General features: G+C 44.0%; 1 long non-coding RNA gene across 1 annotated transcript, besides 2 other annotated features; it reads right to left on the reverse strand.

The window, feature by feature from the left end:
• Positions 1-90: 90 nt before the first annotated feature.
• LOC105376148 (uncharacterized) lies at positions 91-19,601 on the reverse strand. The gene is made up of 2 exons (XR_930124.1): positions 19,240-19,601; positions 91-221 (listed from the first exon to the last, which is right to left on the reverse strand). It is a non-coding gene; the product is annotated as an uncharacterized LOC105376148 (long non-coding RNA).
• Positions 7,986-8,155: an enhancer, noted in NCBI's record as "experimental_109489 CRE fragment used in MPRA reporter constructs". NCBI's record gives its function as "activates a minimal promoter by MPRAs in K562 erythroleukemia cells, with activity observed for the introgressed 9:94736808 or rs7854552 variant allele {active_cell/tissue: K562}" and the evidence as "EXISTENCE:reporter gene assay evidence [ECO:0000049][PMID:34662402]".
• Position 8,071: a transcriptional cis regulatory region, noted in NCBI's record as "Neanderthal adaptively introgressed variant 9:94736808 (GRCh37/hg19 assembly coordinates) or rs7854552 in the experimental_109489 CRE". NCBI's record gives its function as "modulates activity of the experimental_109489 enhancer by MPRAs in K562 erythroleukemia cells {active_cell/tissue: K562}" and the evidence as "EXISTENCE:reporter gene assay evidence [ECO:0000049][PMID:34662402]".
• Positions 19,602-23,080: the final 3,479 nt, after the last annotated feature.

Consider the following 23,080-nt stretch of genomic DNA (forward strand, 5'->3'; position numbering starts at 1 on the left):
CCCTAGTCCCAAACTTAACTGTTCCCATCTCCCTTTGCTGCTGTATTTTCTCCTTGGCACATATCACTATTTATAAAACTACAACTTTACTTATTTTTATTGAGGGTTTATTCAATATTTAACTCTCCACATGTGCTGGTCCAAATGGCCTCTTTTTAGATTTCACTTTCCTCCTGCTTCTCTTCTTTAAGACATTGTCTGGGAGACTGATGTGATTCATCCTAATAGCAAGGAGAGAGAAGAGTCATCAGATCCACACAGACGCCCGTCAGCTTCACTGGCAGGATGGCTGAACTGCTTCCCTCACTGGTTCTAACAGGCCTTTTGGAGTGATGTGCCACTACCTTTTCTGGGGAGTCTGTGCTGCCAGCCAAGGGACCACCACCTCACATGGTCTTTTCCACCTGAACCAGGGCACTGACATTCCACAGATGTGCTCAGAGTTCCTTCACTGGAGCACATGGGAACTCCTTCTATCCTACTGCACAAAAATGTATGATTTATGCATCTCTTAGGGGGTGTAGATTATACGAACGACACATTATGCCATGAGTTCCAACCCTGCTCCTGTCAGGGTTTATTTGAGAAACTGATGCCATATCATAAAAATGATATGAACAGTAACAACTAAAATTTATTGGGTCAATTTGAAACAATAAGATTGAGAACTTGTTGAAATAATAAAACACAAAGTATTTTTCTTCTTAAGGATAGAAAGAAATTTAGTATTCACATGGGATGGAAACTAAATCCGTCTTGGTAACTCCTGATCTAACCAATGTAGCAAAAATAATATAACAGAATGCATACCATCCTCAAAATTGATTATACTCTCAAGTTAAACATTTTCTGAATTGTCATCTATAGCAATGGTCACTGGCTTGTTGTAAATAGACTACGATGAAGTAATAGTAAATAAATTAATATATGTACAGCATTTAGAATGGTACCTGGCATACTGTAAGCACCATATGTGTAATTAAATATACTAATTACGCAACACAAAACTGTGTATTACAATATGTATACTTTCCAAGTGAAAAAAATAGATTAGAGTAACATTACTCTGGAAATCTATCAATTGCATCCTAGTAGCATTTGATAATACATCAAGAATTTTATAACCATCAAGAATCCATACAGATGTGATGTTGAATTTCCTGATTGTGTTGCATTTTAGCCAGGATCCCGCCTTATGTTTAGCCAGCATGTCTTTCATAGCTGAGGCTCCTCAGAGCCCAAATTTGAGCGCAGGGTTTTTGCTTATTCATTTGTTTTTGTTTGTTTTCTTGAAGCAGTTTAGCACATATATTAAGAGGATGGATTTTGGCTCAGACAATTCAGGCTCTGAGACCATGTGGCCTGAAACAGTGTGTGGGGTTTCTAACATATGTAAAACTAAAATATATGACAACTACTATAGCAGAAAGAGCAGGAAAGGAAAAATGAGAGTATAGTTTTATAAGGTTTTCACTGTACTTAAAATTGTGTAATATCCCTTGAAACTAGACTGCAAAAAGTTAAGGATATAAGCTACAAATCCTAAAGCAACCACTAAAATAACAAACCAAAGAGTTATAGTTCATTAGCCAATGAAATTGATCAAACAGAATCATAAAAAACATACAGTTAATCTAAAGGAAAGCAGAAAAAGAGAAAAAAGAACAGATGGGACAAACTGAAAACAAAAAGCAAGATGATTGACTTAAATGTATTTGAATTAATAGTCACATTAGTATATTTGGCAAAGCACTATAATTAAAAGTCAGAAATTATCAGATTAAATACAGAAGCAAGACCCAAGTATATGTTGCTTACAATAAATGCAATTTAAATAAAAAGATGCAAATAGGTAAAAAGTAAAAAGATAAAGAAAGATATACCATGCTAACACTAGTCAAAAGAATGCATAATGGTTATATTAATATCAGATAAAGTAGACTTTATAGTTAAAAATGGTATCAGTGATGAAGACCATTTCATAATAACAAAGGTATCAGTTCATCAAGAGGACACAATTTTAACATTTCCAAATTATAAACAATTACGCATCTAATAAAGGAGCTCTGAAATAGATAATACAAAAGTGAAAAGATAAAAAAACCAACTGTATAATTATAGTGAGAGATTTCAGCACTCCTCATTCAATAATTGATAGAAAATGGAAAATCAGTACGGATGTAGAAGACCTAACAATGCTATCCTTCAGCTTGATCTGACTGATATTTTTAAAACACTCCATGCAATGCTCTTTTAAGGATATAAGAAAATTAGGAAGATAGTATATATTCTGTACCATAAAACAAGTCTCAATGAATTTAAAAGGATTCAGTCATAAAAGTATATTCTCTGACCACAATGTAATTAAATTACAAATCAACAACAGTAAGATCTCTGGGAAATCCCCCAAATATTTGAAAGCTAAATAACACACAGCTAAATGATCAAAGGAATACAAAAGAAGTAAAAAGAGAACTTACAAACTATTTTGAATTGGATGCAAAGGAAAACACTACATAACAAAATTTATGGAGATGCTACAGAAATAGTATTTAAAGGGAAATTAATAGCACAGAAATCAATGACCTCTGTTTCTACCTTATGAAATTATAAATAAGAAAGCAAATTAAATGGAAGGAAAGCAGGGGAAAAACAGTAAAGATCAGAGGGGAATTCAATGAAGCAGAAACCAGAAAATCAACAAAACCAAATCTTTCAGAAGATCAATAAAACTGATGAATCTGTAGCCAGAGTGACACATTATAGGAATGACATCAGTGATGTCCATACAGAGCATATGACATTAAAAGGGTAAGAAGGAGATATTTTAAATTATTTTATTCTAATAATTTGAACAACTTAGATGTATCTGCTCAGCTCCTTCAAAGACACAAACTAAAGCTCATTCTGGAAGAAATAGCTAACCTGAATAATTCTGTATCTATTAAATACAATTAAAGAAATTGCAAATGTTGTTAAAAATTTCCTCCCAAAGACAATAGCAGACCCAGAGGGCATCCTTGGTGAATTCTACAAAATGTTTGAGGAAGAAATAACAACAATTCTATGTATAGTCTTCCATAAAATTGAAAAAGAGGAAATATTTCTTAACTCAATTTATGAGGCCAGGATTACCCTGATACCAAAACAAGGTAGACATTACAAGTAAACAAAACTGGCCAGCACAGTGGCTCACGCCTGTAATCCCAGCACTTTGGGAAGCCAAGGTGGGTGGATCATGAGGTCAGGAGATCGAGACCATCCTGACCAACATGGTGAAACTCTGTCTCTACCAAAAATACAAAAATTAGCTGGGCGTGATGGTGTGCACCTGTAGTCCCAGCTACTCAGGAGGTTGAGGCAGGAGAATCACTTGAACCTGGGAGGCGGAGGTTGCAGTGAGCCGAGATCACACCATTGCACTCCAGCCTGGATGACAGAGCTACACTCTGTCTCAAAAAGAAAAGAAAGAAAAAGAAAACAAAACAAAACTGTAGATCAACATCCGCAATGAACTAAATGCAAAATACCCTAAGCAATATTTTAGCAGACTAAATTCTACAAATATAAAAAGGATAATACACTATGACCAAGTGAGGTTTATCCTAGGAATGCGGATTTTGTCACAGAATGACATCAGCTATTTTGTTCCCACACCCATGTATGGGTGAGAGTGTCATGGTCTTCATTTTTTTTTTTTAGATGGAGTCTCACTCTCTCGCCAGGCTGGAGTGCAATGGCAGGATCTTGGCTCACTGCAACTCTGCCTCCCGGGTTCAAGCAATTCTCCCACCTCAGCCTCCCGAGTAGCTGGGACCACAGGTGTGCACCACCATGCCTGGCTAATTTTTTGTACTTTAGTAGACACGGGGTTTCACCATGTTGGCCAGGATGGTCTTGATTTCCTGACCTCGTGATCCACCTGCCTCGGCCTCCCAAAGTACTGGGATTACAGGTGTTAGCCACCGCGCCTGGCCGAGAGTGTCATGGTTTTCTGTATCATCCCATACTTGTATTTCCTGAGGATATGTTTATTTCTTCTGGTTAACTATTGCTATGTAACTACCTACCTCAAAACAGGGGATTTAAAACAATCATTTGATTTTGCTTATGAGTTTGTAGGTCAGGAATTTGGGAAGAGCTCAGCTGGGTGGTTTGTCTCTGAGCCACGTAGGGTCAACAAGGATAGCTGGGGCTGGTGCATTTCCTTTCCAGATGGCTTCTTTATTCACATGTCTTGGGGCTCATTGGCCTTTCTCTCTCTTCACATAGTGTCTTTCTCTTCTTGGAGTTTTCCACATAGCTTGGGCTTATCACAGCATGATCACCTTGGGGTGGTCAATCTCATTACATGGCTGCTCAGGGCTCCAAAAGCAAGCTAATAGCCATTGGTATGAAAGGCTAAGCCTGAAACTAACAGAGCTTCACATATGTTACATTCTAACGGGCAAAGCAGTTACAGGCTGTCCCACGTCTAAGGGGAAGGAAAGAGACCCCTCATCCATGGGAGAAGCAATGAAGAATTTGTGGCCAGCTTTAACCTGCCACATGCATTTACCCTTCTAATGGCACTAATTTATGTTTTATTTAGGGCTTATTTTTTGGAAGGAACAGAAACTCAGGTTTCCTTAAGTAAAAAGGAATTTGTATGGGGGAATACCAAGGAATGGACAGGAATTGGAAATCACTGGAAACCAGTGGACTTCAGTACGGCCTGTAATAGGAATCACTGCATGAGTTCTAGATAGGGTCAGTCTGATGAGTACGAGCCTGCTACAATGAATAACCTCCAATCCATGTTCCTGCCATCATGTTTCAAGCTCCAGGAGAGAGCATTCATTTGGATGAACTTGGTGCACAGGTGTCTCTCTCCCCGCAGCTGTGCTGATACTGGCCATGGGGAGAATCATCTGCTATGACCTTAAAAGTAGCAGATGGTGTATTTGAATGAGCCTATGCCAGCACAAAATAGGAAAGTGATTCTCCAAAAGGATACTAGCAACCATTAGGAATGAGGAGAGGTTATTGAGCAAACAAATTCCAAATGTCCACTATAGGTAGGAAGGATGAATAAAATTATAGAAAGTTAAAATTTGTGGGAGGAAAGTTGAAATGATTCATACATGATGGCCAAGTGTTATAGGTTGAATTGTGTCCCCTCAAAAAATTCATATATTGAAGTCCTAACTCCCAGTACCTCAGAATGTGACCTTGTTTAGAGACAAGATCTTCATAGGGGCAATCAAGTTAAGATGAGGTGATTAGAGTGGGCCGTAGTTCACTACAGTTGTGTGTTTATGAAAAGGTGAAATCTGCAGACAGACATAGACACAAGAGAATGCCATGTGTCTTAGCTTGGGCTTCTATAACAGAATACTATAGACTGGGTGGCTTAAACATCAGACAATTATTTCTCAAGTTCTGGAAACTGAGAAGTTCAAGATCAAGGTGATGACAGAATTGGTTCCTCATCATGGCCTGTTTTTTGGCTTGGAGACCATGGACTTCTCACTTATGTGGCTTTTCCTCTGTTTGTGTGTGTGGAGACAGTGTCATAGAAAAGGCCACAAGAGAGAGGGTCCAAGATGGTCGATTAGAAGCAGCTGCGGTCTGTGGCACTCACAGAAAGGAATGAAAGCAGCAAGTGAATTCAGCACCTTCAACTTGAATATCCAGGTTCTAGTGTTGGGACTGACTAGGCAAACAACTCAACCCTTGGAGAATGAAAAAAAGCAGGGCGGGTGACAGACCACCCAGGAGTGGCACGGAGCCAAAGAAACCCCCAATCCCAGCCAGGGGAAGCAGTGAGTGATTGTGTGACACCACCTGAAAAACACCACCTCTCCCACAGATCTTTGCAACTCATGAATCAGAAGATCCCCTTGGGAGCCCATGCCACCAGAGCCTTAGGTCCAATACACAGAGTTGTGTGTAGTCTTGGCAGCAGCAGCTCAGGCACTCACAGAGTCCCAGGAGTCTGACATACTCCAGACCCAGGATCCCCGGTAAGGCAGGAGATCTGTCCGTATATATCCCTAGGAAGGGGGCTGAATGGAGGGAGCCAGGCAGTGTCATTCTGCAGGCCCCACTTCCATGGCACCTTAGAAGTTAAGACCCACTGGCTTAGAATTCCAGCCACATCCAACAGCAACAGGCTGGAGTCAGCCTGAGATAGGAGTGAGTTCCCAGAGGAAAGGGTGGCTGCCGTTTCTGTGGTTCGGTACACTCAGCAATTCCAGCCTGTCGGCTTTGGAGAATACAAATGGTCCAGATAAGGAAGGGTCCCCAACAATGCAGCACAGCTGCCTTGCCAGATTGTGGCCAGACAGCTTCTTTAAGTGGGACCCCGGTTCATTCCTCCTCACTGGGCAGGACCTCCCTGTGGGGGCTTTAGCAACTCTAGCTTGGGTCCTGCGGCAGAGCTCTGATCTCTCCCTGGGATAGAGCTCCTGGGGGGAGGGATGGCTGCCATCTCTGTGATTTGGTTGACTCAGCCATACCAGCCTGGCTGCTTTGAAGAATACAACAGAATAAATAACTCAGAAATAAGACCACACACCTACAACCATCTGATCTTCAACAAACCTGACAAAAAAAAAGCAATGGGAAAGGATTCCCTGTTTAATAAATGGTGCTGGGAGAACTGGCTGGCCATAGACAGAAAATTGAAACTGGATCCCTTCCTTACAGCATATACAAAAGTTAATTCAAGATGGATTCAAGACTTAAATGTAAAACCCCAAAGTATAACAACCCTAGAAGAATATCTAGTTAATACCATTCAGGACATAGGCACAGGCAAAGATTTCATGATGAAAACACCAAAAGCAATTGCAACAAAAGCAAAAATTGACAAATGGGATCTAATTAAACTAAAGAGTTTCTGCACTGCAAAGGAAACTATCATCAGAATCAACAGACAACCTACAGAATGGGAGAAAAATTTTGCAATGTATCCATCTGACAAAGGTCTAATATCCAGAAACTGCAAGGACTTAAACAAATTTACAAGAAAAAAACAATTAACCACATTAAAAAGTGGGCAAAGAATATGAACAGACACTTCTCAAAAGAAGGCATACATGTGGCCAACAAACATAGGTAAAAAACCTCAACATCACTGATTATTAGAGAAATGCAAATCAAAACCACAATGAGATACAATCTCACACCAGTCAGAATGGCAAGTATTAAAAAGTAAAAAAACAGCAGATGCTGGTGAGGTTGTGGAGAATAAGGAATGCTTTCACACTGTTGGTGGAGTGTAAATTAGTACAACCACTGTGGAAGACAGTGTGGTGTTTCCTCAAAGACCTAAAAACAGAACTACCATTTGACCCAGTAATCCCATTACTGGGTATATACCCAAAGGACTATAAATCATTCCATTATAAAGATACATGCACATGTATGCTCATTGCAGCACTATTCACAATAGCAAAGACATGGAATCAACCTAAATGCCCATCAGTGATAGACTGGATACAGAAAATGTGGTATATATATATATGTATATATATATATATAAAATGGAATACCATGCAGCCATAAAAAGGAATGAGATCATGTCCCTTGCAGGTACATGGGTGTGGTTGGAAGCCATTATCCTCAGCAAACTAACACAGGAACAGAAAACTCCTCATATTCTCACTTATAAGTGGGAGCTGAATGATGAGAACACAAGGACGCAGGGAGGGGAACAACACACACTGGGGCCTGTTGGAAGCTGGGGAGGGAGGAGGGACAGCATCAGGAAGAATAGCTGGGCTGAATACCAAGGTGATGGGATGATCTGTGCAGGAAACCTCCATGGCACATGTTTACCTATGTAACAAACCTGCACATCCTGCACATGTACCCCTGAACTTGAAATAAAAGTTGGAAAAAAGAAAAAAGGGCATGAATCCCATCATGGGGCACCCCCCCTCCATGACCTCATCTATCTGATTACCTCCCAGAGGCCCCACCTCCAAATACCATCACACTGGGGGTTAGGGCTTCAACATATGAATTTTGGGGGGACAAAAACATTCAGTTCCTAATACCATATAAAGATGAAGATGGATATCCGGGTGGTTCTTTTACAAGCCAAGGATATAAAACTGCCAGCAAACCACTAGAAGCTGGGAGAGCAGCCTGTAACAGATTCTCTTTCACAGCCCTCAGAAGGAACCTACCCTGCCAACACCTTTATCTTGGACTTCTGGCCTCCACAACTGCAAGACAATCACTTACCTTGTTTAAACCACCCAGTGTGTGGCAGTCTGTTGGAGTAGCTGTATCAGTCAGGGTTCTCCAGAGAAGCACAACAGGGTGTGTGTGTGTGTGTGTGTGTGTGTGTGTGTGTGTGTCTGTCTGTGTGTGTGTGTATACAGAGAGAGACAGAGATAAATATCCATTTTTGAAAAAATTGGACAGGATTGTGGGAACTAGTAGGTTCAAATTCTGTAGATCAGGTTGGCAGGCAGGAGCCCCAAGGAAGAGTCAGAGTTGCAGAGCAAGTCCAAAGGGAGTCTGGAGGCAGAACTCCTTTCTTCTCAGGGTATTTCAGTCTTTCTTAAGACCTTCCACACAGGCACTCATTTATTTAATAATTCTTTATTATCGTCTAGATACTTGAGAATACAGTAACAAAAATATTATCCCCGGCCGGGCGTGGTGGCTCATGCCTGTAATCCCAGCACTTTAGGAGGCCAAGATGGGCAGATCACCTGAGGTCAGGAGTTCAAGACCAGCCTGACCAACAAGGTGAAACCCCGTCTCTACTAAAAATACAAAATTAACCAGGCGTGGTGGTGCATACCTGTAATCCCAGCTACTTGGGAGGTTGAGGCAGGAGAATCGCTTGAACCTGGGAAGTGGAGGTTGCAGTGAGCCGAGATCATGCCATTGCACTCCAGCCTGGGCAACAAGAGTGAAACTCCTTCTCAGACCAAAACAAAACAAAACAAAACAAAACAAAACAAAACAAAAAAAGACCTTCAACTGATTAGATGAGGCCCACCCCCATTATGAAGGGAAATGGGCTTTATGATGAAGGGAAATTCTGCTTTACTTGAAGTCTACTGATTTAAATGTTAATCACATCTAAAAAAATAGCTTCATAGCAACACCTAGGCTGGTGTTTAACAAAAAATTGGTACTATGTCCTAGCCAAGTCTACACAGAAAATTAACCACTGCAGCTGCCCTACCAAACAATACACATAGTATGATAGTTCTTCCTTTATCCCCTAAGGGGGGATACTTTCCAAGACAGGGGATACTTTCCAAGACCCCCAGCAGCTGCCAGAAAGTGCAAATACTACCAAATCCTATATATACTGTTTTTTTGATCTGATAATGGAGATGTCTACTGAGTGACTACTGGGCATGTAGCATCTGCAACATGGATATACTGGACAAAGAGATAAGTCATATCCCAGGTAGGACAAAGAAGGACAGTGTGGCCAGGCGCGGTGGCTCATGCCTGTAATCCCAGTATTTGGGAGGTTGAGGCAGGTGGATCATCTCAGGTCAGGAGTTCAAGCCCACCCTGGCCAACATGGTGAAACCCCATCTCTACTAAAAATACAAAAATTAGCTGGGCATGGTGGCACACATCTGTAATCCCAGATACTTGGGAGGCTGAGGCAGGAGAATCACTTGAACCGAAGAGACAGACGTTGCAGTGAGCTGAGATCACATCATTGCACTCCAGCCTGGGCAACAAGTGTGAAACTCCATCTCAAAAAAATAAAAAGTCGGGTGTGGTGGCTCACACCTGTAATCCCAGCACTTTGGGAGGCTGAGGCAGGCAGATCACGAGGTCAGGAGTTTGAGACCAGCCTGGCCAACACAGTGAAACCTCATCTCTACTAAAAATACAAAAATTAGCAGGGCATGGTGGTGTGCAGCTGTAGTCCCAAGTACTTGGGAGGCTGAGGCAGGAGAATCACTTGAACCTGGGAGGTGGAGGTTGTGGTGAGCTGAGATCATGCCATTGCACTCCGGCCTGGGCAACAGAGTGAGACTCTGTCTGAAAAAAAAGAAAAAAAAAAGTAGCGTGTGATAAACTTTCACACTACTCAGAATGGCATGCAGCTTAAAAGTATGAATTTTTAGTGCTGGACTTCTCTATTTAATAATATTTTCAGATGGTGGTTGACCAGGAGTAACTGAAACTGTGGGATGCAAAACTGGATAACGTGGGACTACTATAAAGTAGGTGGAGTGACAGTTAAACTGAGCTCTAGGTCATAGTAGATAAGGTAGGCAGTGGAGAAACTGTAAATGTGCATTCCATCTATAATAGAATGAAGTTGGGTTTTAAGAGGGGTGTTTACTACCTGCCATGGTCTAAATGTGTCACCTTCAAATTCATATGTTGAAAATTAATCATCAGTGTGAAAGTATTAAGAGGTGGGGTCTTTAGGAAGTGATTAAGTCATGGCTAGCCATGGTGGCTCACACCTGTAATCCCAGCACTTTGGGAGGCCAAGGTGGGTGGATCACTTGAGTTATAGATCAGCTTGGCCAACATGATGAAACCCCAGCTCCACTAAAAATACAAGAATTAGCCTGGTGTGGTGGCACGTGCCCGTAGTCCCAGCTATTCAGAAGGCTGAGGCAGGGGAATCACTTCAACCCAGGAGGCAGAGGTTGCAGTGAGCTGAGATCGCGCCAATGTACTCCAACCTGGGCAACAGAGCAAGACTCTGTCTCAAAAAATAAATACATGCATACATACATACATACATACATACATACATACATACATACGGAATTGATTAAGTCAGGAGGGTGGAGCTCTTATGAATGGGATTAGCCACCTATCAAAAGGCTGCAGGGAACTACATAGGCCCTTTTTGCCCTTCTGTCCCTTCCACTAAGTGAGAACACAGTGCTCCTCCCCTCTGGGGACACAGCGTTTAAGCTGCCGTCTGGAAAGGAGAGGCCTGGCCTTCACAGAAACCAAACTTTCTGGCACCTTGATCTTGGACTTCCCAGGCTCCAGAATTGTGAGAAATAAATTTCTGTTCTTTATAAATTACACTACTGGTTCTCTACCCTGAGGACTCCAATGGGCTCCAGACCATGCATGCAAAGGTGGCCCTTGAGCTCCCCAGCTCCTGGCTGGTGACTGCACAATATCAAGATTAGTGCCCCCACCCATTAGAAGTCCTAGGACCCTCCAGGGCAAGTCCAGCATTGTTCCCTGCCATGTCCAAGGATGTTGCTGGTTTGCTAAAATTTTAGTGACTTGATGGGAAGTTCCAGGTGGCATGTCCATAGTACAACTGCTTGAGTCCAACATGTTCAATTAACGAAGGAGGAGTAGGTGGGGGCTGTGTAGGGGCTGCAGTGCTGGGATGGTCCCCTAGTCCTTTTTTTTTTGAGATGGAGTCTCGCTCTGTCGCCCAGGCTGGAGTGCAGTGGTACAATCTCGGCTCACTGAAAGCTCTGCCTCCTGGGTTTATGCCATTCTCCTGCCTCAGCCTCCTGAATAGCTGGGACTACAGGTGCCCGCCACCACGCCCGGCTAATTTTTTTTGTATTTTTAGTAGAGATGGGGTTTCACCGTGTTAGCCAGGATGGTCTTGATCTCCTGACCTCGTGATCCTCCTGCCTCAGCCTCCCAAAGTGCTGGGATTACAGGCTTGAGCCACCGTGCCTGGCCTGTTTTGTTTTTGAGACAAAGTCTCATTTTATTGCCCAGGCTGGAGTGCAATGGCGCGATCTCGGTTCACTGCAAACTCCACCTCCTGGGTTCAAGCTATTCGCCCCCTCAGCCTCCCGAGTAGCTGGGACTACATGTGCCCGCTACCAGGCCCAGCTAATTTTTTTGTATTTTTCAGCAGAGACAGGGTTTCACCATGTTGGCCAGGCTCGTCTTGAACTCCTGACCTCAGGTGATGCTCCCGCCTCAGCCTCCCACAGTGCTGGGATTACAGGCATGAGCCACCCCACCTGCCGGTCCCCTAGTCTTAGACCCTTGTGTGATGCCAGCCAGCAGCGTCGTCTTGCCATGCACAATCTTGCACCTCCCAGGACTGGTACCCATGCTGGGATCGGAGGTCCACCACCTCTCAGACACAAAGCCTGGCAGCGCTGGGACTGCTGTTATCCGCATCCTCCCTCAGAGCCAGAAACTCATTTATGTTCTCAAATACTGGATCAGTTATCTATTTCTATTAAACAAAGCATCCCAAAATGGAGTGGCCTATAATAGCAATGATTATTTATTTTTCATCATTCTGTGGGTTGGCTGGGTGGGTCCTCTGCCGGTTTCTCCTGGCTCACCCACAAGATCACATTTAGCTAGAGGGGCAGCTGGGCAAGTACGTACCCAACAGACTCACTCGCAGCTTCTAGCTCTGGGGTGGGACATCTGAGTCCTTCTCCATCCAACACAGGCTAGATATGGTGGTTTCTTGGTTCCACCAGGGAGAGAGCAAGAACTGCAAAGCCTCTTAACCCTGGAGCCAGCACTCTGTCCCTTCTGCCACCTTCTGTTGGCAAAAGCAAATTGCATGGCCAGCCCAAATTCATGGGATGGAGAAATAGACTCCGTATCTCAAAAGGGAGAGCCCACTGCCACTTGTCAGAGGAGCCTAGACTCAAGGAGATATGATTCCTCGTGGACCATGGCTGACAGTCTCCATAAATACCAAGAGCAGATCCCATCCTCTCTAGCAAAAAATGAGACTTTATTGCCTTGACCGAGTCCTGACCCTCAAAGCTCACTTGAAGGTAGCTGCTAAGTCACAGTGTCAGGATCCCTCACTGGAAGACTAAATGCATGCTTTCACTGCCTGTGCGTCTTTGCTCCATCCAGAAATGTGATGACTCATTCTTGGAGCATGAAGGTTTGTTGTGGGAAGTGTGCAGAAATGTTTTTCTTTACTTCCAGAATGACAAGCCAGGGGGAAAAAATGGAACAAATTTTTTTTTTAAAAAGTAATTTATTTGGAAACTGTGTTAAATTCAAAACAAGCTACCATTGGAAAGTCTGAGACCTACCTTTTTGGTAGTCTTTAAATGTAACACAGCAGTCTGGGCGCAGTGGCTCATGCCTATAATCCCAGCACTTTGGGAGGCCAAGGCAGGCAGATCACCTGAGGTCAGGAGTTTGAGACCAGCCTGGCCAACATAGTGAAACTCTGTCTCTACTAAAAATACAAAAATGAGCCGGTTGTGGTGGTAGGTACCTGTAATCCCAGCTACTCGGGCAGCTGAGGCAGGAGAATCGCTTCAACCCAGGAGACGAAGGTTGCAGTGAGCTGAGATTACGCCATTGCACTCCAGCCTGGGGACAAGAGCAAGACTTCATCTCAAAAAAAAAAAAAAAAAAAAAAAAAAAGTAACACAGCTAACCATCGGTCTTTATAGAGAATTTGGAGCATGGATCCTCAGGGCCAATCGGCTGGTTAAAGACTCACACACTGGAAGCAACCCAAGTATCTATCAGTGAATGAAGGGATAAGCAACATGTGATCTATCCATGCCCTGGAACATTGTTCAGCCTTAAAAGAAGAGAACTCTGACACACGCTACAACACGGAGGAACCTTGAGGACATCATGCTGAGTGAAGTAAGACAGTCATGAAAGGACAAATACTGTATGATTTTACTCATATGAGGTACTCAGACAAAATCATAGAGACAGAAAGTAGACTGATGGTTTCCAGAGGCTGGAGGAAGGGGACTGGGAGTTGGTGATTAATGGGAATGGAGTTTCCATTTTACAAGACAAAGAGTCTGGAGATCAATGGTGGTGATGGTTGCACAACAATGTGAATATTCGTCTTTTTTGGGGGTGGGGGCGGGCAGAGTCTCGCTCTGTCACCCAGGCTAGAGTGCAGTGGCATGATCTCGGCTCACTGCAAGCTCTGCCTTCTGGGTTCATGCCATTCTCCTGCCTCAGCCTCCCCAGTAGCTGGGACTACAGGCGCCCGCCACCACGCCCGGCTAATTTTTTGCATTATTTTTTTGGTAGAGATGGGGTTTCACTGTGCTAGCCAGGATGGACTCGATCCCCTGACCTCGTGATCTGCCTGCCTCGGCCTACAATGCGAATATTCTTAATACTACTGAGCTGTTCATTTAAAAATGGTTAAGATGTTTTGAAGATCCTTTTAAACCAATGTCTCAACTCACCTGGGCTGTTTTACCCCAAGGGTTCAGGGATAGCCCCCATCTATTTGGCCAGGCATTAGCCCAAGACTTGAGCCAGTTCTCATACATGGACACTCTTGTCCTTTGATACGTGGATGATTTACTTTTAGCCGCCTGTTCAGAAACCTGTACCATCAAGTCACCCAAGCGCTCTTAAATTTCCTTGCTGCCTGTGGCTACAAGATTTCCAAACGGAAGGCTCAGCTCTGCTCACAGCAGGTTAAATACTTAGGGCTAAAATTATCCAAAGGCACCAGGGCCCTCAGTGAGGAATGTATCCAGCCTATCATTGTTTGAATGGCTCTTCGGAATCTATGTGCTTCCTCTCATTCTTAGTGCCCCCTATGACCATCTACACTGAACAAGATTTATACAAGTATGTCATACCTAAGCCCCACAACAAAAGAGTACCCATTCTTCCTTTTGTTATCGGAGCAGGAGTACTAGGTGGACTAGGTACTGGCATTGGCAGTATTACAACCTCTACTCAGTTCTACTACAAACTATCTCAAGAACTAAATGGTGACATGGAACCGGTTGCCGACTCCCTGGTCACCTTGCAAGATCACCTTAACTCCCTAGCAGCAGTAGACCTTCAAAATCGAAGAGCTTTAGACTTGCTAACCGCTGAAAGAGGGGGATCCTATTTGTTTTTAGGGGAAGAATGCTGTTATTATGTTAGTCAATCCAGAATCATCACTGAGAAAGTTAAAGAAATTCGAGATTGAATACAACGTAGAGCAGAGGAGCTTCAAAACACTGGACCCTGCGGCCTCCTCAGCCAATGGATGCCCTGGATTCTCCCCTTCTTAGGACCTCTAGAAGCTATAATATTGTTACTCCTCTTTGGAACCTGTATGTTTAACCTCCTTGTTAAGTTTGTCTCTTCCAGAATTGAAGCTGTAAAGCTACGAATAGTTCTTCAAATGGAGCCCCAGATGAGGTCTATGACTAAGATCTACCATGGACCCCTGGACCAGGCTGCTAGCCCATGCTCTGATGTTGATGACATTGAAGCCACCCCTCCTGAGGAAATCTCAACTGCACAACCCCTACTACACCCCAATTCAGCAGGAAGCAGTTAGAATGGTCGTCGGCCAACCTCCCCAACAGTACTTGGGTTTTCCTGTTGAGAGGGGTACTGAGAGACAGGACTACCTGGATTTCCTAGGCCAACTAAGAATCTCTAAGCCTAGCTGGGAAGGTGACCGCATCCACTTTTAAACACAGGGCTTGCAACTTAGCCCACACCTGATTAATCAGGTAGTAAAGAGAGCTCACTAAAATGCTAATTAGGCAAAAACAGGAGGTAAAGAAATAGCCAATCATCTATCGCCTGAGAGCACAGCAGGAGAGACAATGATCAGGATATAAACCCAGGCATCCTAGCCAGCAATGGCTACCTTCTTTTGGTCCCCTCCCTTTGTATGGGAGCTCTGTTTTCACTCTATTAAATCTTGCAACTGTGGGAAAAAAAATGGTTAAGATGGTAAGGTTTTGTTTGTTTATTGTTTGTTTATTTTTATTTTTTTTGAGACAGGGTCTCACTCTGTCCCCCAGACTGGAGTGCAGTGGTGCAATCTCAGCTCACTGCAGCCTCATCCTCCCAGGTTCAAGCGATTCTCCTGCCTCAGCCTTCCGAGTAGCTGGGATTACAGGCATGTGCCACCACACCAGGCTAATTTTTGTATTTTTAGTAGAGATGGGGTTTCACCATGTTGGCCAAGCTAGTCTGAAACTCCTGACCTCAAGTGATCCACCCACCTGAGCCTCCCAAAGTGCTGGGATTACAGGTGTGAGCCACTGTGCCCAGCCAAGATGGTAAGTTTTATGTTATGTATATTTTACCACAATTTAAAAATTAAAAAAAAACAGATCTATGCAACCTATCATGTCATGCCTGATAGTTGCCCTGATAGTCACAGATCACAGACTGCTTTAAGACACACACTCACCTGGGCTTACTCTGTGTCTAGCCACAGTGCAATGTCTCTGTTTTTTGTTTTGTTTTGTTTTGTTTTGTTTTGTTTGTTTGTTTGTTTGTTTGAGATGGAGTTTCCTTCTTGTTGCCCAGGTTGGAGTGCAATGGTGTGAGCTTGGCTCACTGCAACCTCTGCCTCTTGGGTTCAAGTGATTCTCCTGCCTCAGTCTCCCAAGTACATGGGATTACAGGTGTGCACCACCACACCCAACTAATTTTGTATTTTTAGTAGAGACAGGGTTTCACCATGTTGGCCAGGCTGGTCTTGAACTCTTGGCCTCAGGTGATCCACCCGCCTCAGCCTCCCAAAGTGTTGGGATTACAGGCGTGAGCTACTGCACCCGGCCGCAAATGTCTCTTTTATCTTGAAAGCTCAGAAGTGTGATGGGTTACATCAGTCAATCAGCTCCAGCAAGTGCCCCCTGGAATACAGAACTACATGAATGTGTGTGTGTACAAGAGGGGGCCTCGGGAGGCAGAGAGAAGGTGGAAAGCTCACTGCCTGCTGGACCCAAGTCCTGGCAGCCATGCTAGGGCAACTCTGCTGGGCTGATTGTCCACCCAGCATCCATCTGACCTTCTGTCTTCCTTCCAGTACCTTGGTTTGTTTCTGTGTTTGCTCTTCAGGTCTTCTTTCCTACAGACTGAAGCCAGGAAGAACTGACCCACCCCCATTTCCATGCTCCCCCCACCCTGTCCCTCAGTGGAACTCCATTCCCTTAACTGGTGAAGGAAGAGTCTGCTGGGAAGTGAGGAATTCTGGAATATGTCCTTCTAGATGTTGTCATGGCTGAATGTGAGGTCTTCCCCTGCTGCCCCACTGTGCTTGCCAGAGAAAAGCCAGCACCCAAACTGCCAGAGGACAAGGAGAGAAAGCTCCCCAGTCACTGATGGCATAGCTGAGCCTCTCATCAACCACACCTGGAACCTAACCCACCTTCCACTTATAGTTACCTTCATCGCTTAGATGAGCCAAGAGTATTCTAATGGATATGTTATCATCTATCCGATATTTCCAGAAAAGAAAACTCATGCCTCAGTCACAAAGAAAATCAAGAAAATTCCATACAGGTAAGTGCCACCAAGTCCACGATGAGGAACAGCTCAGCCACTATGAGGATGTGGGGATTCTGGGTGAAGGGGTGCAAAACTGGCCACCCCAATATATATGTCTTTGGCATATTGATTTCGTTGAACTGAAAGCACATCAGAAACAGATGCAGACAGGGTTCTCTGCCCTGCCGCTTCTCTACCTAAAACCAGGTCATAAAATTCCCCATGAGAAAGGTGCCCTCCCTGTACCAGGAAGAGAACATTCATGTCACCGGAGACTGGGAGTCGATGCAGAATGGACCTGCGCAAACAAGCCCTACAAAAATAATGTTTATCCCCTACTGGTTTTCCCCACATATTTCCTAGTCACCATCCCACAATTTACTGTCCCTAACCCAAGCCCTTTATCTTGTCACATGCCCATAATTTACCATTCTGTGTGTAAAATGGTGTCTATACTTTTGAGCCTAATGGCTTCTTCAAGTCTTTGTTTTCCTTCTGAAGACTCCTGTGCACATGTTAAAATATTAAACCAATGTGTATGCTTGTCTCCTGTTAATCTATCTCAGCTGAATTCTTGGGCCAGCCACAAAACCTGAGAGGGTAGAAATAAGTGTTTCCTCCCCTATATGGGTAAGCAAAGCAGAAATAGTAAGAAAGCTGAAAAGTAAAAGTGATGCTGGAAGGCTATTTTATAATAGAAAAAATCAGTATGGGCAGGCACGGGGCTCATGCCTGTAATTCCAGCACTTTGGGAGGCTGAGGTGGGTGGATCACCTGAGGTTAGGAGTTTAAGACCAGCCTGGCCAACATGGTGAAACCCCGTCTCTACTAAAAATACAAAAAAAAAAAAAAAATTAGCCAGGCGTGGTGGTGCACACCTGTAATCTCAGCTACTTGGGAGGCTGAGGCAGGAGAATTGCTTGAACACAGGAGGCAGAGGTTGCAGTGAGCCGAGATTGCACCACTGCACTCCAGACTGGGTGACAGAGCAAGACTCCATCTCAAAAAAAAAAAAAATCAGTATTTTTATAGTAAAAAAGAAAAAACTAATTATAGAAAATTTGTATAACCCCCAAATAAAAATCACCCTTAACATCATCATTATGCAAAGTTAACAATTCTTTCTTTTTAGCCCATGACTTTGCAAATCTTTTAAATGCCCCCTCTTGATTAGGTGAGTAAAAAGGAAAATAAAATCAGAGAAAAAAAAAACAGAGGTCTCTAAGGGAAAAGTACATATGGAGTTAAGTTTGAATTGGAGGAAAACAACTCACTGAAATTAAAAAAAAAAAAACAGCTTGATGATATAATTAACATATACAAAACTCTCTTAAAGTATACAATGTAATGTTTTTCAATATATTCACCAGGTTATGAATATACCATCATCACAATCTAATTTTAAAACGTTTGTGGCTGGTTGCAGTGGCTCACCCCTGTAATCCCAGCACTTTGGGAGGCCAAGGCAGGTGTATCATTTGAAGTCAGGAGTTCAAGACCAGCCTGGCAACATGATGAAACCCCGTCTCTACTAGAAATACGAAAATTAGCCGGGCATGGTGTCGTGCACCTGTAATCCCAGCTACTAGAGCGGCTGAGGCAGGAGAATCACTTGCACCTGGGAGGAAGAGGTTGTAGTGAGCCGAGATTATGCCACTGCACTCCAGTCTGGGCAACAGAATGAGACCCTGTCTCAATAAAACAAAAACAAAAACAAAATTTGTGTCCCTTAAAAGAAAATCTCCCGATAATCATTCACTCCCCATGCCCAGCAGGTCCCTGAATTCACCCCGTTGTGATTTCCTAGTTTGAGGACGCACGATTGGAATGAATGTACTCAGCAGCTCGTTGGATCCCCACATTTGTTCCCTGACCAGTAGAGTGGAGTAAGGGCTATTATGATGGGAATGGCCAAGTGGAAGCCACTAGAACTACTTTGACTAGGAAAATAGTAAACCAAAAGTAGCACCACATTTCTGGAGAGGTTGCAGAGATTAGTGTCACCATCAAGGACTTAAGGATGCACCATAAACCTATTCAGCTCACCTATTGGACTGTGCAGAAGACAGATGGATTTTGGAGGACGACAGTGGATGGATTATCGTGAACTTAATCAGGTGTTGACTTCAATTGTAGCAGATGTAGTTTCATTGCTTGAGGAAATTAGCACAAACCCTGGTACATGGTGTGCAGCTATTGGTCCAGCAAATGCTTTTTTCTCCATCTCTGTTAGTGAAGACTTCCAGAAGCAGTTTACTTTAGCTGGCAAGGCAAGCAATATACCTACACTGATAGGAGTGTGTCAGCTCTCCAGCTCTATGTCACAATCAGTTCACAGAGATTTTGATTGCCTTCCCCTTCCAGAAGACATAAACATTCATCCATTACATTGATGACATTATGCTGACAGGACCTAAGAACAAGAAGTAGTAAATATGCTAGATTTATTGGTAAGACATTTGCATGTCAGAGAATGGGAAATAATATTTTTTTTTAATTTCAGTGGCTTTCTATGTCTGTGAAATTTCTAGGGCATCTAGTGATGTGGAGGCACATTAAGGTGTTCATATGAAAGGTAAGCTATTGCATCTGGCCTCTCCTGTAACTAAGAAAGACGCACAGTGCCTAATGGGCCTCTGAATTTTGGAGGCAACATATTCCTCATTTGGGTGTGTTACTCCAGTCCATTTCCCAAGTGACCAGAGAAGCTGCTAGTTTTGCTTAAAGCCCACAACAGGAGAAGGCTCTGCAACAGATCTAGGCTGCTGGTCAAGTTGCTTTGCTGCTTGGCATATGACTCAGCAGATCCAATGGTGTTTGAAATGCCAGTGGCAGATAGGGATGCTGTTGGAACCCTCGGCAGGCCTGTATGGGTGAATGGCAGTACAGGCCTTTACATTTTAGAGCAAAGCCCTGCCTCCTCAACAGATAACCACTCTCCTTTTGAAAAACAGCTCTTGGCCTGCTACTGGGTCTTAGAGGCTGAACACTCAAGCATGGGCCATCAAGTTACCAGGCCACCTGCACTGCCCTTCATAAACTGGGTGGTATTTGACCCACCAACCCATGAAGTTGGGTGTGCACAGCAGCACTCCATCATCAGATAGAAGTGGTATATACATGATCAGACCCAAGTAGGCCCTGAAGGCACAAGTACATTACGTGAAGTGGCCTTGCTACACTGCCTCCTCTCTCCTAGCCTGCACTGATGGTCTTACAAGTAAGTTCCTGACAATCATTGTCAGAGGAAGAAAACAGTCAGTCCTGGACTACAGAGGGTTCTGCGGGATATGCAGCCCCCACTCTGAAGTGGACAGCTGCAGCACTGCAGCCCCTTTCCAGGACAGCCCTGAAGGACAGTGGTGAAGAGAAATCCTCCTAGTGAGCCAAACTTTGAGCAGTTTACCTGGTTGTCCACTTTGCCTGGAAGAAGAAATGGCATGATATGCAATTACAAACTGATTCATGGGCTGTAGCCAATGGTTTGGCTGGATGATCAGATACCTGGAAGGCACATGACTGGAAAATTGATGACATGAAAATTTGGGGAAGCTCTATGTGCATAGACCTCTCTGGGAAAAGAACACAAAGATATTGTGTTTCATGTGAATGCTTATCAAAGGGTGACCTCAGCAAAAAGGACTTTAATAATTGGGTGAATAGGACAATCCATTCTGTGGATATCAGTCAGTCTCTTCCCCCAGCCACTCTGTCATGGCCCAGTGGGCTTGTGAACAAAGTGGCCATGGTGGCAGGGATGGAGATTGTGCACAGGCTCAGCAGCACAGAGTGGAAGTCCTGAGTACAGCCTCCACTGACTGCTCAATCTACCAGGAGCAGAGAGCAACACTGAGCCCCCAGTATGATCACCCAGGGGGATCAGCAAGCTATCTGGTGGCAGATTGATTACACTGGACCACTTCCATCATGGAAGGGACAGAGTTTTGTCCTTACTGGAATAGACACTTATTCTGAATACAAATTTGCCTGTCCTGCTCACAATGCTTCTGCCAAAACTACCATTTGTGGAGTCACAGAATGCCTTATTCACCATCAGCCGCACTGCCTTGCTTCTGATCAAGAAACTCACTTTACAGTGAAAGAAGTGTGGCAATAGGTCTGTGCTCATAGAATTCACTGGTTTTACCATATTCTATATCATCCTAAAGCAGCAATTTTGCTGGGAGAGTGAAATGGCCTTTTGAAGACTCAGTTACAGTGCCAGTTAGGTAGCAGTACCTTGCAGGGCTGGGGCAAGGTTTCACAGGAGGTTGGATACGCTCCAAATCAGCATCTAATCTATGGTGCTGTTTCTCCCACAGCCAGGATTCACAGGTCCAGACATAAAGGGGTGGAAATGGGAGAGGCACCACTCACCATCACCCCTAGTGACCCACTAGCAAAAGTTTTGCTTCCTGGTCCTGTGACTTTATGCTCCACTGGCCTAGAAGTCTAGTTTCAGTGGGAGGACAAAAACAATGGTTCAATTGAACTGGAAGTTGACTGCAACCTGGCCACCTTGGGTTCCTCATGCCTCTGAATCAATATGCTGCAAAAAGAGCTAGTGTTGGCTGGGGTGACTGATCTTCATTACCAAGGAGAAATTGGACAACTATTCCACAATGGAGGTAAGGAAGTGAATGTCCAGCATACAGTAGATCCCTTAGGGCATCTCTTTTTATTATCTTTTATTATCACAATGCCTTGTCTACTGTTTCTATGACTGTAGACCACGCTTACAGGAGGAAAATTACTTCTGTACAAGGCACAGCACAAAAAATGGAGGTGTGGGACCATGACTGGTCATATCATACCAGGCACAGGGACAGTGTGCTAGGGAGTCATGAGCATTTGTGGATAGAAAGCAGAGGCAAAAGATCAGTGACCAAGAAGCTCAACTCCGCTTATATGTGTGAAGCTCCACACAACTCCACGTGATGAGCAGACACCATAAGAAATACACACATGGGGCCGCGCACGGTGGCTCACGCCTGTAATCCCAACACTTTGGGAGGCCGAGGAGGGCGGATCACGAGGTCAGGAGATGGAGAGCATCCTGGCTAACATGGTGAAACCCATCTCTACTAAAAAATACAAAAAATTAGCTGGGCATGGTGGCGGGCAACTGTAGTCCCAGCTACTTGGGAGGCTGAGGCAGGAGAATGGCATGAACCTGGGAGGAGGAGCTTGCAGTGAGCCAAGATCACGCCACTGCACTCCAGCCCGGGCGACAGAGCGAGACTCCGTCTCAAAGAAAGAAAGAAAGAAAGAAAAGAAAGAAAGAAAGAAAGAGAGAGAAGAGAGAGAGAAAGAAAGAAAGAAAGAAACAAAGAAACAAAGAAAAGAGAGAGAGAGAAAGAAAGAAAGAAAGAAAAGAGAGAGAGAAAGAAAGAAAGAAAGAAAGAAAGAAAGAAAGAAAGAAAGAAAGAAAGAAAGAAAGAAAGACAGACACACATGGATCTCCACCACGTTCTTGCCAAATTTTTTTTTTTTTAGATGGAGTCTCGCTCTGTCGCCAGGCTGGAGTGAAGTGGCGTGATCTCTGCTCACTGCAACCTCCGCCTCCTGACGGAGGTTCAACCCAGGAATCTCCTGGGTTCAAGAGATTCTTCAGCTCCCAGTAGCTGGGATTACAGGTGCGCGCCAAGAGACCCAGCTATTTTTTGTATTTTTTTGGTAGAGGCAGGGTTTCATTACGTTGGCCAGGATGGTCTCCATCTCTTGACCTCGTGATCCGCCTGCCTCGGCCTCCCAAAGTGCTGGGAGTACAGGCGTGAGTCACCGCGCCTGGTCACCAAAAATATTTTTAAGTTAAATCTCTCCAAACCTTTAGACCTAACTTCCAGTTGACAGACAATACAGGAACAGAGGAACAGGTAAAAGAACA

Source organism: Homo sapiens, chromosome 9 (genome assembly GCF_000001405.40).
Source record: "Homo sapiens chromosome 9, GRCh38.p14 Primary Assembly".
Taxonomy (NCBI): domain Eukaryota; kingdom Metazoa; phylum Chordata; class Mammalia; order Primates; family Hominidae; genus Homo; species Homo sapiens.